We start from the raw sequence: 19,690 nt of genomic DNA, 5'->3' as shown, positions 1-19,690 counted from the left end.
AATCACAAATGCTGAATTAATAAATAATTTGAGTACTTCATAATATAAATGTAAGGATCAGTAGACAGTAAAATCTATCATCCTGCTGTGATTTTAGATAATCAAAGTGTTTGCTGAATCTGCATCCATTTGAAACTAAAATGCTAGTGTAACTGCTCCATGTAACATCCCAGCCAGCGGTACCCTGGTCAGTCGGTGATGCTCACAGAGAAGTCTGAGCCTGACAATTACTGTGGGATAATAAAAAGAAATGAGTTTATATTGCCCTTCCATTTGAGGAGGTCATAATTTAATCAGGAAGTAGAGAAAACACAGAAGATAAAAAATAACTATCACTGCATTAAATGGAACTACAGAAAAATGACACACGGAGAATTCTCCCAATGGAAAATTTTCAATAGTTAGAAGTTGTCCAGTAATGCAATGGGAGCCCTGAAAAGGAAATCCGTGGTGGGAACCCCCTCGGCTGGACTAGGAGGATGTTGGAATTTCCTTCCAGTTACATCCGGATGGGATTTGGGGACCGCTTTCCAGAGCTTCAGGGGGCAAATGTGCAACAGGACCATATTTGCACTTCAGGGAGCCCTTTCCAAGCAGAAACACAGGGGTAAAGTCAAGGGGGCCAGAGGCACACGTCAGGCCAATCGTCAATATAAAGATGTTAGAAAGGGATAAAAAATAGTATGTGAAGATTTTCAGAGTTTTCATAATTAAAGATTTTTACTGAACATAATCGAACATAATCAACCTTAGACTAATAAGAAACAGCCGATGGGGGCGTATTTTGTGAAGGATCTTGGTAAATGTGAACTGGACTAAACTGGCAGTGGGGAACCATGGAGAGCTGCGGCCAGGAGATGGCCCCGTTAGGTAAGCCTGGGCGGGCGTGTGCTGGGGCACCTTGCTCTGCACCCATCGCAGCTGTTTGTGTGTCTGGGCCCAACAAGGGCCATGGTGGATAAGGGATAAATGAGACTGGATACTCACTGCCCCAGCTCCCAGCAGAATCGTGTGGCAGGAGGCATGAAGCTAGATCCTGGAAAATGTGCTCGGATTTCCAAGGCCTGTCTGCATGCCACCTCCTCCCTCCGCTCCTCCTCCATCCACCGCCCCGGGTGGGAGGAACCTCCCTGGGAGTCCGTGGGAGTTTGTAGTTCATGTCAGAATTATTGACGCAGAGGCCAAGCGAGGGCTTCAGAATCCACAAACGTGAAGGGCAGCAGGGTTTCCCTCTGCTGGGGATGGGTGAGGGCCTCCCGCTGGAGATCCAGGATGCAGTTGGGTGTGATGTGGGGCCAGGAGATATGCGGGTGTGTGGGGTGTAAACTGGCTGCACACATGCCTTTGGGTAGAGCAATCACACGCATATTTCCTGCAGGTCAAGTAGATGTGTGACAAGTATCGGGTGTGGGTCATTTTACCCACAGTGAGTCCCAAAGAAACGTACCCCACAAATAGGCTGCAGGGGTGAACAGTGGAGGTGGAGTGGGAGGAGGGGGTTAGGCAGGAAAGGGGAGGCTGAGCCATCTCTCCATGTTAGAAAAGAAAGGAGGGGAAGACCCCATCAGGAAACTCAAAAGAATTGAAAAATGCCCAGTCCAACGTCCAGTCTTAGAGAAGCAGTGACCAGAGACCAGGAGGGCCCTTTCTTTTTGCTCAGTCAAGAGCCTTCTTTCTCCTCCATCCTCCTTCCCACCTGGCCCACATGGAGCCAGCGTTAGGAAGAGGGAGGGGGAGGGGGTGTGAGTGACCCCCATGCTCTAACCTCCCTTCCCTGTAATTCCCTAGAAATTAATGTTTGGGCTTTGCAGAGGGAAGGGAAGAACAGAACTTTGAATAGGAAAACAGACTGAAGGTTAAAAGACATCAGGTCTGTCTGGACAGGGCTAAGGGCTGGTGTCTTCATGGGCTGCACCTGAGATTGAGTGCACCCAGTTCTGCAGCTGCCGGCATGGGGTTGGGTCCCGAGCACGGAAGGGCAAGAATGTGTAAGATGTTTTCATATCTACATCCTCATGTTTTGAGCTTCCTTAATTATCCCAAGACTAGAAGCACATATGTTTTGCTTGGTCCTCCAACACCATTGAAGATGGCTTCTTTAAGGTGGCTTAAAGAATGGTTAAGGGATAGAGATCCACCAGTCCCTGGTAATGACATTGACAGTGAAGGCCTCTGCCAGGGGTGGGGCTCAGGGATGCAAGGGGCTGTCTGCTCTGGACCAGAGGGAGCCTCCGAACGGGATGGGGAGGAAGGAATGTCCCTCAGGACCCAGGAGCACAGAGGTGGGATTCCCATTTTCAAGTGAATAGGACAGAACAAGATTTTGAGCAACCAATTTCTTAGAACTACAAACTCAGTTAATCATGAAATTAAAGTGGAATTTGAGAGTGTGGAGTACACATTTCTCTTTATTTTAGCCAGCTAAAGTTACTGCTCTTCATGAAGAATCACCAACAATCGCTAAACTGATTTGAAGACAGATAACTGAGGAAAGGAAATCAGGTTTCAGCTGAGTAATCCGTGCTTCCCTTCCAGTAGTCAGCAGCAAAATCACCATGGTCACCCAGCTGGAGAAATGACATCCTATATTTGACCATACATTCCGGAAGAGAAAAGCCAACACGGAGATGGAAATAAGTTTCAGAAACAGTGTCTGATAATTACCAAGATAGAGGGGTGCCATTTTATGCATACTTCATTATCCTGGCGACGCGATTGCTTCTGGTACGGCCTGAACTGTGTCTCCCTGTAGAAGAGGTCCATGGAGATCCTCACCCCCAGTGCCTCAGAACATGACCTCGCTTGGAAATAGGGTCACTGCAGACGAAATGAGTTGAGATGAGGTCACCGGAGTGGGCTCCGAGGATGACAGTGCTCTTATGAGAAGAGGAGAAGGGACGAAGATGGGGAAGGTCCTGGGAGGCAGAGGCCGAGGGTGGAGTGATGCACCCACAGCCACGGACACTGAGGCGGAAGGAGGGATCCTCCCCTAGAGACGTGCAGGGAGCGAGGCCTTGCCCACACCTTGATTTCAGACTTCTGGCTCCCAGAACTGGAGAGGGTAAATTTCTATTGTTTTAAGCCACGCTGTGTGTGGTACTTTGTTATGGCAGCCCCAGAAACTAGTACAGTCCATCCCCCAAATGTAAATGGTGTTGCGGGGTCAGAAGTGACCTCAGAAAGCTTCTAGCAATACTCAAATGCGCATTCCTCACCCTCCATCAAGGCAAGGGATTCCCCGGTGCTAACAGCAAACCCCAACCACTCCCTGTAATGTGGTTCTGTCTCTACGTATTCCCTTACTGTACATCTTCTTTAAAAACAGCCTTGGGCGGGTGGATTGCTTGAGCCCAGGAGTTTGAGACCAGCCTGGGCTACGTGATGAAACCCCATCTCTACAAACAATAACAAAAACAAAAACAAAAATTAGCTGGGCATGGTGGCGCAAGCCTGTAGTCCCAGATACTGGGGAGGCTGCGGTGAGAGGATTAGAGCCTGGGGAGGTTGAGGCTGCAGGGAGCTGTGATCCTCCCACTGCACTCCAGCCTGGGCAACACAGCAAGACCCTACCTCAAAAAAAATTACCTTGGAGACACAAAATGTGGCAACATGCAAGGAATAAGTTTCATTTCTGAGGCTTTGAAACACACAGAATTATTGTTCCACTCATAGCTGAAAAGTAAAATAAAGCTGTTGATGACAAATTTATTACTATGGTAACTGCAATACAAGGATAATTTGTTTTTAAATGCAGTGTTACTATTGGAAAAACTGTACTTATAGGTTGCTAGGGGGCCTAGAAGACAACGAAACTAATGTTTTTCAGTTATCTTTTCTTATTTTAGTGCTACATGCTTTTTGCAGAAAATTTGGAAAATATTTAAAAGAAAATACAATTCAACCACAAACCCAGAGATAACCACCATTGGGATTACTGTGCATTCATACATTATTAGTTTTCATTGCTGTGTGTGATAGTTTGTGTGTGTCAACTAGGATATGGTACCATGGCATTTGCTCAAATACCTGAATGTGAAGGTGTGTTTTACAAGAGATTAATGCTCACATTGGCAGATTTTGAGTAAGGCAGATTTCCCTCCAAACTTGAGATGAAGTCACACTCTGTCGCCCAGGTTGGAGTGCAGTGGCGTGATCTCGGCTCAATGCAACCTCCACCTCCCGGGGTCAAGGGATTCTCCTGCTCCAGCCTTCTGAGTAGCTGGGATTACAGGCATGTACTACCATGCTCAGCTAATTTTTTTTCCTTTTTTTTTTTTTTTTTTTTTTTTAGTAAAGACAGCTTTCACCATGTTGGCCAGACTGGTCTTGAACTGCTGACCTCAAGTGATCCACCTGCCTCAGCCTCCCAAAGTTGTGGGATTACAGGCCTGAGCCACAGCACCCTGTTAAACACTGTTAATGTTTTAACAGTCTGTACACATATTATTTACTTGACAATTATTTTATTTATCTATTCAGTCCTTAATACATATTTACTTACCGAATGAATAAATGAAAAAATTCATAAATTAGGCATCATACGCCAAAGAAGACAATGAACTCATAGAACACATTGTCTTTACTATTGGGGAGAATTACATATAAGATGAGCTGTTTAGTAAAACTCGCTGCTGCTTCAAGGTTAGCACCGGGTTCTACTAATGGTGTGATTCCACTTAACTGTGTCCTCAGATCTTACAGATTGGACTCTTTTTTGCTCTGTTCTCTTCATTCAGTACATTCTCTGGAATCTCGAAGGTCGCACCTTCAATAGCCATTAGATTAAGAGACATGAACAGAAAGCCTTGCATGAATTTTTTCAGCTAAAAATACAGAAGTATTTAGCTGAACTATCCGTGCTGCTGCTGTTAGACATTCTGAAGGCTATGACAGTAAAGAGAGTGACTCATATTTAAGGAATGGTTGTTCTGAACACTCTTCATCGTGCGAATGTGAAAAATTATTTTTCTATTGTGCTACCAGAACTCTATTAGGAGTCACGTGATGAACTCAGGTAAGGCCCTTGGTTATGGGGCAGGAATGCACGTGTCACAGTTACAGGAAAACTCAGAAAAGTAGCTCATTGGTATAGTGAAGAGCTAGTAAATGCATTTTGTGGCTCTGAGTGTTATCATGAATGACTTAACTGTTTTGGAAAGTTAAGACTTCATATAATTAGAAATGGAAAAAAATCATGGTATTTTATTTATGTCTCTCAACCGAACTCCCTACCAAAAGCAGGGCCTGAAAAGAGAAAATGGCCACTATTAAATAATTTTACACATTATAAAAATTTGAAAAAGTAATTTAAAGAAAGAAAAATAATTAATAGTAGCTATATTTTTAATAGTAACCCTATCTCTCCTTCATTTCATTCATTCACCCCTTGAGTCAAAGTGGAAATCAAAGTCAAAATTGCTGAGTATTTAGATAACAGTGACTATAAAAGCATCATCTATCAATATATGTGTGATGTAGCTAAGATATATTCTTAGAAACATTCATAGCCTTATATACTTTTATTAGTAAATATACTTTCAGATAAAGAATGAAACAACAAATAGGTCTAAGAAAACAAAAGAAGAAATAGCAATAAAAGCAGAAGTTAATGAATTAGAAAACAACTGAAAATGTATAAATCCACCCAAGAGCCAGTTCCTCTCTGGCCTCACCCCAGATCACCATTTTCCTTTTTCAAGACCATCCCCCTGAAGCTGGCAGACCACTATAGGCAAAGTTATTTTTCCTGAGAAGCAAATCTATAAAAATCTCCTAAGAAAGTTATTTCCTGAAATTAAATAGTTCCTATAGATGAACGGGCAATGGATTTCTGCAAAGAGACCAGTATTTGGGATAAGGCTTTGCTGCCTAAAATTAGGAGATTCTCAAACTGCCCTTTGGAAGTAGGATGTTTTTAAGAAAGCATCCTGTAATGTTTTTAGGGAAACAGGCAATAAGCCAGTGTCTGTGGGATCCTTGCCCCTCCCGCTAGGACTTTCCAGAGGCAGGGGTTAAACTATGCATAGATTATGGGTATAATCAGCCCATTAGAAAAAAGCAATTTGGAAGACCTCCATTCTAGTCAGAATCTCCTTAGCTGCACTGATGAAGGTGAAAGCATAAAAGCTTCAGAGGGAGCCACATGCCCAGAAAATCCCCTTATGATGCTACCCAGAAGAAGAGATACCTTGGCAATAAGTAGACTGGTGGTTGAGCATTCGCAAATATTTTCTTTACAACACTCTGTGCAGTAATAAAAACATAGAGGCAGTTCCCCAACGGTAATGTTAAAGTCACGCAGCAGTGTGTCCGTCCAGTGACATCTGGGCCTAGAGTCCGCCACAGAAGGACGCACGTGGTACCTCTGCAGGCGGGACTCTGACCCCTAGGGCCTTCCACGCTGGTGCCACATCTGTGAACACGTTACGCTACACATCAAGCGGGCATGAAGGTTGCAGGTGGAATCGAGGTTGCTAACCAGCAGACCCCGGGGTAGTGAGAATCTCCTGATGACCCAGGCAGGCCCCCTCTCAGCGCAGGAGCATTGAAAGCAGAAGAGGAAGGCAGAGCAAGTCGGAGATCGATGTGGACGTGAGACAGGAGGGGTCTGCAGAGTGAGAGAGACCCCACACCCCGTCCAGCTGGCTCTGAAGATGCAGGCAGGGGCCAGAGCTAACACATCCCTGTGGGTGGCCTCTGGAAACAGGGGGCTGACTTCAGCTGACAACAAGGACACGGGGCTTCGGTCCCGCAACTGTAACATCTTGATGTGAAAGAAAACCACTCCCCACGCAGATCCCCGGAAAGAAGGGCCAACGGCCGACACCTCAGCCTTAGCCCAGAGAGACCCGGAAGGAGGGCAGGCTGCCGACACCTCGGCCTTAGCCCAGAGAAACCCGTGTTGGCTCATGACCTGCAGGACTTGGCTGAGGATAAACGCCCTGTTTTAAGACACTAAGTTTGTGGCAGTTTTTATGACAGCAACGGAAAACTAACAAAATATTTGGGAGAAAAAAGGAAATTGTACAGTAATGCGTGCAGTGGGACCTCATGTTTATTGTAAACTACGCCCATATGTGTATATTTTTATACACACACGAAAGTGTCCGGACAGGATAAAGTCATGGGCAGTGGAAACCCCTGGCGATGGACATGCCAGAGACAGAGTGACACTCCACTTCACACAATTACGTGTGTTAGCTCTTTACAATGAGTCATAATTTTACAGTTTAAGCATCAGTTTAATAACTGATTTAATGAATGGACTGCGAGTGTATGGAGAGGCTGGCTACAGTACTGCCCAGGCACTGCCCACGGCTGGGTGGTGGGGGCACGGGGCCGCCAGGTTTTCCAGAGACGCATCTCTAGGGATGTCTCCCTGTGGTGAGCTCGCTAAGCTGCATTTCTTGTTTGCACCTGCAATGGCACAGTTGGGTTAAAAAAAGAAAAGCTTACGTGGTCTGTGGATTATGTGTTTTTCAGTTGCAGTTCGCCATAAAAGTGCTGGATGGTAAAAGACAGCACTCACTACAGCCCCCTGAACTGACAGCCCTAAGGAGTATTTTTTTTTCTTTTTCGGTCTTTTGCCCAGGCTGGAGTGCAGTGGTGCAATCTCAGCTCACTGCAACCTCCGCCTCCCAGATTCACGCAATTCTCCTGGCTCGGCCACCTGGGTACCTGGGATTACAGGCACGGGCCAAAATGCCTGGCTAATTTTTTGTATTTTTAGTACAGACAGGGTTTTGCCATCTTGGCCAGGCTGGTCTCAAACTCCTGATCTCAAGTGATCTGCCCGCCTCCGCCTCCCAAAGTGCTGGGATCACAGGTGTGAGCCCTCATTCACAGCCAGGAGTATTAATGAACAAACCAGGCGCCAGTCTTAGGAGCCTCCCTCTTAACTAAGGTCTTCATGAAAACAATATCAGTTGTAGCAGGCCAAAAACTAGATGTTGAAGTAAAATATGAGAAACATAGAAATAACAGAAAAGAATAAGTAAAGCACAAAATTTAAAAATGGAAGTTTTTAATTTGTCTTTCATTGTACTTAAGTTTTTGATTTAACGTTAAGGACATTTTTTCTAATAGAAAAAAGTTAGAATAAGACTAGAGTTGGTATGCACAAGAAGAAAGAAATGAGGTAAAAAGTGAAGAATTTACTAGAGAAACAATGAAATCCATGAAGAGATGTAAGGTAAGATACTGGAAACAGCACGAAACAGGTGGATGGATAATGTTCTGGTGCCCTTCTTCATGGCTGCCTGTTGGGTCCGCCGGGTGTGGGGTGAGCTGCTTCCCTGATGGGCAGAGACCCCCAGGAGCAAGTGCCAAGTGCCATTCGAATCCCCAGGTCCTCACCTCATGCCCAGATGCCTGAGCTTCTGAGGAGAGACATCGTCAGGGACCTGGGAACCCCTAGGGCTGGACCGATCAGAGTGCAAATGCTCTCTCTGCACGTGCTGGCAACGGTTGCAACACAGGCTGGACCAGAATCTCCCCTCCGCTTCCCTCCAGCTGAAACTAAAAATGAAGAGCCAGCAGCCCACGGTAGTGGAGGAGACTGTGAGAGAGGATGCCTCCTCCCCAGGAGCATATGGCTTCCTATTAACTGAAGAACTGCAGGTTGCAGGTGTGTGGCATGCACGAGGAGTCTGGCGTCTGCTCCCGTTTTGACTAATAGAACCTAAAGGAGCTTAAGAAATCAGGTGAATGTGAATCAGCTTTGCACACGTCTTTTAAATTGATTATCTTTATGTTTAGGCTCTAAACAGGATTACTTTATCGGCGTCGCTAATAGCAGTTCATTTATTAAGTTGATTATCAATAATCCCTGACAAATGAGTCATAAGACGATGGTTTTATCCATTCATCCAGTGTGTGAGGAGCACATATAATGCCTCACAGTGAAGGCGCAATGGCAATGATAAATGAGACAGCTCTTGCTTTCAAAGGCTATAGGGACTCTCGGGAAAGCAAACAGGCATGTGGTAGAGACAAGCACGAGCAGTGAGGAAATATGCTGCAGGGGACGTAACTCCAGGGAGCCTTCCCAGAGGAGGCAATCAGAGCTGGGCATGGAAGGATGACCGGCAGCAAGGAGGAGACGGTGAACAGCCGACTTCAAGTCAGAGGAGCGAGGAGGAAGAAAATTGTCAGGGGAACAAGGCTTTCCGGGGGCAGATCACGAAGGATCTGCACTGGGATCAGGCAAACCCCTGCAACCAGCGCGTGGAGGGTCTCAAACAGAAAGCTGAGACGTGAGATCAGCCTTTGATGTGAGAGGCAGGACTTGGAGCTGGTGGCCGAGAGGTGCTAGGAGCTGAGTGATCTGAAGGAAGCTGTGAGAGCCCAGATACCAAATGGAGTCTCAGCATCAGGAAAGGCAAAAACGTCAGGACTGCTGGGCTTAGAAACACAGGAAGTGGCTCTGAAGGGTCTTTCATCTTTCTAGATGGATTCTGCAAAAACTGTGATTTCTTTGAAAGGCTTCTTAATCAGATGTCAGCCTGACTCTGCAAGGTCTCAAAAGCAGCCCCGACGCTCCCTGCCTACGGAGGCACAGCCACCCGCCACAGGCCAGTGGATGCTAGGAGATCCCCAGGCCAGGTACCCAGCTTGCCCAGCATGGTGGTGTTACGCTGTGTGGAGCAAAAGGTGATCCCAGGGCAGGCTCATGGGCCAGAGGAATATCTGAGCCCGTCTTCTGAGCTCTTCTCAGATGCGTCCATCAATAGCTGGTGTTCTCTTGGTTACTCACTTGATCACCTCACCCAACCCATGGCAGATGGGAGGGAGAAGAGGCTTGGAGCCATCTCATGACTTAAATAGCCTACTCACAAACATATCCCAAAACGGAAGTGTCAGGAGGCTGAGGTATGCCCCTTCTCTTCCCGTACAAGAATACAGTTTATTTCTCACCTTGGAGAAATGGCTTCACAGGATTCTGTTTTATCCTCCACGATCCATTGTTTCATAAGATTCACTTTTGCAGCTCTGGTTCAGATGCTGAATGGGTCAGTGCGTCTCACTTTCTGCATGGCTGTAAGAATTTCCGCAAATGCACGGTCATGCAGCCACCACCAAAACCGAGACATGCAGCCCTCCCTCTCACTGCAGTTCTAAGTTCCTGCTGCCCTCTTCTTTCAGAGCCATGCTTAAAGAACTTCCTTTCTTAGGAAGCCGAGGAGGGTGGGCCATTTCAGGTCAGGAGTTTGAGACCAGTCTGGCCAACATGGTGAAACTCTTGTCTCTACTAAAAATATAAAATACAAAAATTAGTCGGGTGTGGTGGTGCACACTTGTAATCCCAGCTGCTCGGGAGGCTGAGGCAGGAGAATCGTTTGAACCCAGGAGAAAGAGGTTGCAGTGAGCTGAGACTGTGCCACCACACTCCAGCCTGGGTGACGGAGCGAGACTCCATCTTGGCGGGGGAAAAGAAAAGAACGAACTTCATTTCCTATTTCTTGCAGTACTGGTCTGCTAGCAATGAATTTCCCTAGCTTTTTTTTTTTTTTCCTAAGGATGACTTTTTTCATTTTGATTTATGAAAGATATTTTCTCTCATTCTAGAATTCTGGGCTAACGTCTTTTCCTGTTTTAAGTATGTCACTTTACGGTGTTCTGGCCAGAATCATTTACGATGAAAAGTGTGCTGTAATTCTTTATTCTTCTGTACATAATGGTCTATAATTTTCTTTCTTTCTTTTTTTTTTTTTTTAAGGTTTTATCTGTATCCTTCACTTCTGGTAGTTTGACTGTGGTGTGTACATGTGTGTGGGGCTTGTCTGTATCCTTCACTTCTGGTAGTTTGACTGTGGTGTGTACATGTGTGTGGGGGTTTGTCTGTATCCTTCACTTCTGGTAGTTTGACTGTGGTGTGTACATGTGTGGGGTTTTATCTGTATCCTTCACTTCTGGTAGTTTGACTGTGGTGTGTATGTGTGCGGGGTTTTGTCTGTATCCTTCACTTCTGGTAGTTTGACTGTGGTGTGTAGACGTGTGTGGGGTTTTTTCTGTATCCTTCACTTCTGGTAGTTTGACTGTGGTGTGTACATGTGTGTGGGGATTGTCTGTATCCTTCACTTCTGGTAGTTTGACTGTGGTGTGTAGATGTGTGGTGTTTTGTCTGTATCCTTCACTTCTGGTAGTTTGACTATGGTGTGTATATATGTGTGGGGGTTTGTCTGTATCCTTCACTTCTGGTAGTTTGACTGTGGTGTGTAGACGTGTGTGGGGGTTTGTCTGTATCGTTCACTTGTGGTAGTTTGACTGTGGTGTGTGTATGTGTGTGGGGTTTTATCTGTATCCTTCACTTCTGGTAGTTTGACTGCGGTGTGTATATGTGTGGAGTTTTGTCTGTATCTTTCTGGTTGACTGTGGTGTGTAGATGTGTGTGGTGTTTTGTCTGTATCCTTCACTTCTGGTAGTTTGACTGTGGTGTGTGTATATGTGTGGGGTTTTGTCTGTATCTTTCTGGTAGTTTGACTGTGGTGTGTAGATGTGTGTGGAGTTTTGTCTGTATCCTTCACTTCTGGTAGTTTGACTGTGGTGTATATATGTGTGGAGTTTTGTCTGTATCCTTCACTTCTGGTAGTTTGACTGTGGTGTGTATATGTGTGTGGGGTTTTTTCTGTATCCTTCACTTCTGGTAGTTTGACTGTGGTGTGTGTATATGTGTGGAGTTTTGTCTGTATCCTTCTCTTCTGGTAGTTTGACTGTGTTGTGTCGATGTGTGTGGGGTTTTGTCTGTATCCTTCTCTTCTGGTAGTTTGACTGTGGTGCATATATGTGCGGGGTTTTGTCTGTATCCTTCACTTCTGGTAGTTTGACTGTGTTGTGTAGATGTGTGTGGGGTTTTGTCTGTATCCTTCTCTTCTGGTAGTTTGACTGTGGTGTGTAGATGTGTGGTGTTTTGTCTGTATCCTTCACTTCTGGTAGTTTGACTGTGGTGTGTAGATGTGTGTGGGGTTTTGTCTGTATCCTTCACTTCTGGTAGTTTGACTGTGGTGTGTGTGTATATGTGTGGGGTTTTGTCTGTATCCTTCACTTCTGGTAGTTTGTGGTGTGTGTAGATGTGTGCAGGGTTTTGTCTGTATACTTCACTTCTGGTAGTTTACTGTGGTGTATAGATGTGTGGGGTTTTGTCTGTATCCTTCACTTCTGGTAGTTCGACTATGGTGTGTAGATGTGTGGGGTTTTGTCTGTATCCTTCACTTCTGGTAGTTTACTGTGGTGTGTAGATGTGTGGGGTTTTGTCTGTATCCTTCACTTCTGGTAGTTTGACTGTGGTATGTAGATGTGTGGGGGTTTGTCTGTATCCTTCACTTCTGGTAGTTCGACTGTGGTGTGTAGATGTGTATGGGGTTTTGTTTCTGGTGTTGATCTGTCTTTGAGATTTTCTCAGGTTCTTCAGTCTGTGATGTGATCTATCTTTCTAATGTTAGAAACTCCCTGGCATTAGTGCTTCCCACGTTTCTTCTGTTCTGCTCTGCTTTCGTCTTTCTGGCTGGGATTCAGGTTCTATGTGTGTGAGAACATTTGATAGCTCTCTGCAGCTCTCGGATGCTCTTTTCTGCCTTTCGATTCCCACGCTTTCTCTTCGAGCCTCCGCTGGGTAATTTCCATGAACCTATCTTCAAGGTCACTGATTTCTTCGTTATGTCGAGCCTGCTGATGACTCACCAGCAAAATCCTTTATTTCTGAAACCATGAACCCCATCTGTGGTCTTTCCCTCTGCCTCTTTCTTAGAGTTCTCCTCTCTCCACTGCTTCCCATTTAGCCAGGCCCACTGTGCCGCTGCTTGATCGCATAACTATAGTTACTTTCACGTTTTCTCTGAGAGTTTGAAGGAACATCCATGTCACTTCTGAATCTTGTATTGATTGCCCTGTGTCTTGAGAATGAGCTTTAATTTTACGGTGTCTCCTAAATTTTGATGAAATCTTGGTCATCGTGTACAGAACAGTGGGAATGGATGTGAATGGTATCAGTGCTGGGAAATGGGCGGGGCTCTTATTCCATCAGGCTTTCGGTGGAGGTGTTGAGGCCATCAGGTCAGGTGCAGAGCTGGCTGAGTCGTGCTGCCCTGCGGCTGCCTGTGCTGCAGCACACACTTTACCTCCTCCAGAGCAGCCTTTTGCTGAGGGTGGTAGCAGCGCATGGTGGGGGCTTCCTTAGTGCCCCCACATCACCCAAACCAACGCCCACGATGGGCACTTAGGCAATGTACCGTGTCACGCAACGATATGTAACACAATAGTGAACGTGGCTGTATTTTTTACGTCTTTGCATGCTTCTCAGGAATTTCTCTAGAATAAACTTTTAGATTTTCAGTTTTAAATGGCATGCTCTCCAAACGTTTTAGTTATTGATAAGGTAGATGAATAGTCTTTGCTTGGCCTTTATTCATTTTTGCACTGCGTCATTCATTTTTTTCTTTATTGATTTGTAAGGCAATCTTTATATATTAAAAATATAAACATTTGTTACTTATATTGAAAAACTCTCAGGTTTTTATTATGATTTTACTTTGGCGATATTATTTTTAGTTTGCTTGTTGGCTTGTATCATAAATAAGTTTTTAATTTTATGAATTTAAAGTGGTATCTTTATAATTACGCCCCATGGAATCATGCCCAGATACGTCTTCTCCACCCCCAGAGTACAGAATACTCATATACATATGTGTCTATATATATACACACATATATGTGTGTGTATATATACGATTTTAATGCTTACATATTTAATCCATCAGAATTTATCTTTACATATGATATGAAGTATCTTTGAAATAAGCTCTTTTTTCTTTATAAATTTAAAGTGCTACCTTCATTAGAGAATGACCCAGAGACATTCAAAATTATTAGAGCTTTGACTTTCTAATTGAACTAAGCAGAAAAAAAAGCAAAGGCCTCCAAATGAAATTATTTGGTCTACCTTTCATCACAATCAGAATTGAATTAGTTATTCAAGTATTTCAAATGTTAATATATAAGCAAGTCCAGTATCTCAATCACTAATACATAAGCTAATTTAGAAATGCAGTAAATTGGATTCAGTAGGACTTGGAATTTGCATTTCAATTAGTTGATAATAATTCTAAGTGGTGCTCTGCACGTGGGCAGGGTCTGACCCACAGACGGGGCCATCAGCCCTGGGAATCTGACCTTCCCGATCGGGGACACAAGGCCGAGGGTCTGTACACCAGGGCATGAGACAGGTGGGACAGGATTTCTGCTTGTTTTTATTTTTATTTTTGAGAGCAAAAGGCCTTCTATTATCTTGCACTATGTTAGAGAACATAGCAGGGTATAAGTGAAAACGCTTATATATATAATTAGGATGTGCATATTAAGTGATTAACGAGAAGACTGATTTTTTCTCAGTTTTACAGCAGGAAGATAAGATGGTTTTTAACAGAATAATTCTGGCATTGTTCCAAGAGGTGGAACATTTTGAAGCAGAATTCCTGCAGTCTTTGCAGGAGTGCTCTGCTCTGTGGTTTAGAAGGAGGGCTGATAACAGCCAATTAAAGACCCAACCTTCTTCCAGTCCCGTACCAGGCAGTCAAAAAAGAACTGCTGACACGTTCCATCTCACGGGACGGCACAGTCAACGCAGGTGCCCAGAGCCTCCCAAGGACTTGGTGTGCCCGATAACTTCCGGGGTAAGAACCTGAACCCATACCTATCACATTAAAATTAAATACAATTAGCAAGTCGATCTTCCCATAACATTTGCATTCTTAACTATTGTTCAGGTGAAGAGAAGTTGTTCATGTACACCAAGAGGAGAATAAAAGCCTCATGGAGACAAGCAAACATTCATTATCATTTTTATCATTTGAATCACTTGGAAACGTAAAAGATTTTGTCAGTCAGCTCCTGCTGGGAAGCTCTTTTGTGCAAAAAAGAGAAAAACACTCAGTGCACTGTATCCAATTACTTTCAATTCTGTTTAAAATACAATTATAGAATCACCAATTTTGTTTAAAGCAGACTTTGGGTATAAGATAAACTTAGTATAAGAGTGTCTACGTAATTTACCAACAAAACGTTATCAGATTACATTAATGCAGATTTCCACACCTTGCCTCTGGCAGCTATGAGCACTCGCGCTGGTGCCAGTGGCACCTCGGAGGCACCGGGCGGGGCTCAGGACTTGCGGGGCCAGGGGCAGGTTGAGGAGGAAGGTCAGTGCTGACCACGCTGAGTGCTGCCCGTTCCCCAGCATGCTGTGTGCCCCTGTGGGAATCCGAGGTTGCTGCTCCTTCCTGGGTCCTGCAGGCTCCTCTCACTCCCCTGGCCCCGGGCTGCTCTTGACACCTGTCCCTGCTGCAGGGACACCAGGCTGCAGCCTCCAGCAGGGATGCCTTTCCTCTTCCATTTCTCACAATAAACCTCTTGTTGGATATCCTGTGGCATTTACTTGCTTTAAATTTTTTTTTTTTTTTTTTTTTTTGAGAGAGAGTGTAATTCTGTGGCCCAGGCTGGAGGGCAATGGCACGATCTTGGCTCACTGCAACCTCCGCCTCCCGGGTTCAAGTGATTCTCCTGCCTCAGCCTCTCGAGTAGCTGGGATTACAGGCATGTGCCACTACACCAGCTAATTTTTGAATTTTTAGTAAAGATGGGGTTTTGCCATGTTGGCCAGGCTGGTCTCGAACTCCTGACCTCAGTTGATCTGCCCACCTTGGCCTCCCAAAGTGCTGGGATTACAGGCATGAGCCACCGCGCCCAGCCCCTTAAAAAATTTTTATCGTATATTGACAAAGTATGTGTATTTACGGGGTTAAAAAGTGTGTTGTGATTTTAAGTACAATGTAGAAAAATGAAGTGAATTAACACAGCTATCAGCTGAAATATTTCACATTTTTTGTGATGAGAACATTAGAAATTCACTCAGTGATACTGAAATGTGCAGTACTCATTTACTTGCAGTATTCAGTGTGCTACTGATCTAAAAACATGAAGAATATCCTCCTGTCTCGGTTACTGTAGCCTGTAGTATAGTTTGAAGTCAGGTAGTGTGATGCCTCCAGCTTTGTTCTTTTGGCTTAGGATTGTCTTGGCGATGTGGGCTCTTTTTTGTTTCCATAAGAACTTTAAAGTAGTTTTTTCCAATTCTGTGAAGAAAGGCATTGGTAGCTTGATGGGGATGGCACTGAATCTATAAATTACCTTGTACTGGTACCAAAACAGAGATATAGACCAATGGAACAGAACAGAGCCCTCAGAAATAATACCACACATCTACAACCATCTTATCTTTGACAAACCTGACAAAAACAAGAAATGGAGAAAGGACTCCCTATTTAATAAATGGTGCTGGGAAAACTGGCTAGCCATACGTAGCTGAAACTGGATCCCTTCCTTACACCTTATACTAAAATTAATTCAAGATGGATTAAAGACTTACATGTTAGACCTAAAACCATAAAAATCCTAGAAGAAAACCTAGGCATTATCATTCAGGACATACGCATGGGCAAGGACTTCATGTGTAGAACACCAAAAGCAATGGCAACAAAAGCAAAAATTGACAAATGGGATCTAATTAAACTAAAGAGCTTCTGAACAGCAAAAGAAACTACTATCAGAGCGAACAGGCAACCTACAGAATGGGAGAAAATTTTTGCAATCTACTCATCTGACAAAGGGCTAATATCCAGAATCTACAAAGAACTCAAATAAATTTACAAGAAAAAAATAAACAACCCCATCAACAAGTGGGCGAAGGACATGAACAGACACTTCTCAAAAGAAGACATTTATGCAGCCAACAGACACATGAAAAAATGCTCATCATCACTGGCCATCAGAGAAATGCAAATCAAAACCACAATGAGACACCATCGCACACCAGTTAGAATGGCGATCATTAAAAAGTCAGGAAACAACAGGTGCTGGAGAGGATGTGGAGAAATAGGAACACTTTTACACTGTTGGTGGGACTGTAAACTAGTTCAACCATTGTGGAAGACAGTGTGGCGATTCCTCAAGGATCTAGAACTAGAAATACCATTTGACCCAGCCATCCCATTACTGGGTATATACCGGAAGGACTATAAATCATGCTGCTATAAAGGCACATGCACATGTATGTTTATTACAGCACTATTCACAATAGCAAAGACTTGGAACCAACCCAAATGTCCATCAATGATAGACTGGATTAAGAAAATGTGGCACATATACACCATGGAAAACTACGCAGCCATAAAAAGGACAAGTTCATGTCCTTTGTAGGGACATGGATGAAGCTAGAAACCATCATTCTGAGCAAACTATCACAAGAACAAAAAACCAAACACCACATGTTCTCACTCATAGGTGGGAATTGAACAATGAGAAGACTTGGACACAGGAAGGGGAACATCACACACTAGGGCCTGTTATGGGGTGGGGGGAGGGGGGAGGGAAAGCATTAGGAGATATATCTAATGTAAATGACGAGTTAATGGGTACAGCACACCAACATGGCACATGTATACATATGTAGCAAACCTGCACATTGTGCACATGTACCCTAGAACTTAAATAATAATAATAATAATAATAATAATAATAATAAAGAATATCCTCCTGTCTCACGGAGGGTGGTTCTTTTGACCCTCAACTCTCCATTTTCCGCACCCCCAGCTTCTGTAACCTCCATTCCACTGTCTGCACCTGTGAGTTCCATTGTTTTAGGTCCTGTATTTAGGTGGGGATTTGCGGTGTTTGTTTTTCTGTATTTTGGCTTATTTCATGTAACCTAATGCCCTCTGCTTCCATTCACGTCTGCCTTCCCACGTTTGCCACAGCACTGCTCACAATCGCCAAGTCACAGAGTCAACCTCTGTCATCAAAGGGTGAGTGGATGAAAATGCAGCAGATACGGTGTGGAATACTAGTCACTCCTAAAGAGGAAGAAACTCTGTCGTCTGTGATGATTTTTTGTATTGTTCATAGTCTCTTGTTGTGCGTTATTATGACCTAACATTGCGTTTCTCCCTCGCTTGCCTCTCTCTGTCCCTGTGTAGTGAGTGTGTGCACACGTGTGTGTTTGTGGAAGATACTCAGTCACTAGCAGGAAGCACAACAGTGGATTCCAAATACAATTCTTAGGCGAAGAAACATCTTCAAGACTCATTAGGTATTTTCTCAATGCTTGCAAAATCTCATGAGTCACATATTTATGCAGAGTGAGATGCCTGTCACACGTATGTTCGTGGGTTTCCTTTCTTGTGTCCGGAATGATCAGGTTGAACCATATACAATTTCTGCTTTTAAATATTGGCTGATTATTGGCAGTTTAATGTGGGTCAACCAACTTTATCAACTCAGCACAGTAAAGGTGCTTAGCTCAGCCTAAGTGGAAGCTTTTATTTGCAGTAACACATGATTTGGGTCATAACAAAATGGAAATGTCAACTAACTGTTTAATAAATGTGCTTGCTCGATGGTATTGAGGCTCTGGTGGGAAGACCACACACAGGACTCATCACCGAGGGAGGTGACTCATCACCGAGGGGAGATTCTGCTGCCTCCGGGGGCAGGGGGCAGCATGGTTTAGCCGCGTAAAACTGAGAGACCTAGAGTTGACTTCCGGTGGTGTGACTCGCTGAGACAGGGTCTTCATCTCTAAGGCTTGGGTCATGGTGTTGGCTTCAGCACAGTTACCAGAGCGGCGAGGGCTGGGATGGCTGTTGTTCTTGGTGTATTACAAGTCCTGCAATTATTGCCGGTGCTGTGCCTAGTTCATTGCTCTCCTGTCTCACGTTACCCCCCATACACTAAAATCTGGTGACGCAGAACCTGTTTCCATTTTCTGATTGCACCTGAGTGATTCAACAGAGTTGGCATTCAACATGAAATAGTGTTACTATAAAATATTATTTCCCTCTCCCGTAAATATGCTGTCTTTGGGAACTTGGTCCTGCTCTGTGCAGGGCTGATGCTCTCCTACCCACCGCTTACCCTAATGCTCTAGGGTGGACCCCTCAATGCAAATGTGAGTCTGCAGGGAGACAAGCCTGGAGCTCCCAGAATGGGTTAGGAGTCCTGTCTCACGCATTTAGAGAGCACCTCACTTTACACTTGTAAGTTACCTACGCCACTTATGACTACTCACTGAAGTGCACTGGGTCTGTTAGATTCTAAGGGGTCAGCTCACACCTTCTGTAAAGGCCCAGATGTAAGTATTCTAGGGTCTGCCGGCTGTCGGGGTGCCTCACACCTGCTCAGCCCTGCCTGAAGCTGGGAGGTACCCACAGCAACATGATGACCAGTGAGCGGGCCACATTCCAATAAAACTTTATTCACAAAAAAGGCCCTTGGCAGGCCCTTGCTTGCCAGCATCTGGACTGAAAGCTCCATTCTCTGGTGTTAGTTTACCTGCATTTGGGCACCAGAACAGCACGTGATGTTTCCTGCATACTTCCCGAATAAACGAGCTGTTATTATTGATGACTAAATATAACTTAAGCAAGAATATGCTCCCCAAGCTGTGAAACCCACGGATGGCAGTCAGGGGTCTAAAGGACTTTTCTCTCAGACACTCTTCACCCTTTCTGTCTTCTCAATCCCATTAGATGCCCCCACAGTTCACCTTCTCTCCTCTCCATCTCATCAGACGCCCCCACAGTTCACCCCTCTCTCCCCTCCATCTCATCAGACGCCCCCACAGTTCACCCCTCTCTCCCCTCCA

General features: G+C 44.6%; 1 protein-coding gene and 1 long non-coding RNA gene across 2 annotated transcripts in view, besides 2 other annotated features; one reads left to right on the top strand and one right to left on the bottom strand.

The window, feature by feature from the left end:
• The window catches only part of DLGAP2 (DLG associated protein 2), a 970,849-nt gene that overhangs the window by 115,449 nt on the left and 835,710 nt on the right, over nt 1-19,690 (bottom strand). The window lies entirely within an intron of this gene.
• DLGAP2-AS1 (DLGAP2 antisense RNA 1) overlaps nt 1-19,690 on the top strand; it is a 56,156-nt gene that overhangs the window by 28,637 nt on the left and 7,829 nt on the right. The window lies entirely within an intron of this gene.
• Nucleotides 6,086-6,585: an enhancer, noted in NCBI's record as "H3K4me1 hESC enhancer chr8:1534609-1535108 (GRCh37/hg19 assembly coordinates)". NCBI's record gives its function as "activates a minimal SCP1, AML or CMV promoter by ChIP-STARR-seq in primed H9 embryonic stem cells {active_cell/tissue: H9 hESC(primed)}" and the evidence as "EXISTENCE:reporter gene assay evidence [ECO:0000049][PMID:30033119]".
• Nucleotides 14,689-15,215: an enhancer, noted in NCBI's record as "H3K4me1 hESC enhancer chr8:1525979-1526505 (GRCh37/hg19 assembly coordinates)". NCBI's record gives its function as "activates a minimal SCP1, AML or CMV promoter by ChIP-STARR-seq in naive H9 embryonic stem cells {active_cell/tissue: H9 hESC(naive)}" and the evidence as "EXISTENCE:reporter gene assay evidence [ECO:0000049][PMID:30033119]".

The sequence above is a fragment of the Homo sapiens genome, chromosome 8 (assembly GCF_000001405.40).
Source record: "Homo sapiens chromosome 8, GRCh38.p14 Primary Assembly".
In the NCBI taxonomy this organism is placed as follows: domain Eukaryota; kingdom Metazoa; phylum Chordata; class Mammalia; order Primates; family Hominidae; genus Homo; species Homo sapiens.
The sequence above is the reverse complement of the archived record's forward strand: the minus strand, read 5'-3'. Positions and strand labels throughout refer to the sequence as shown.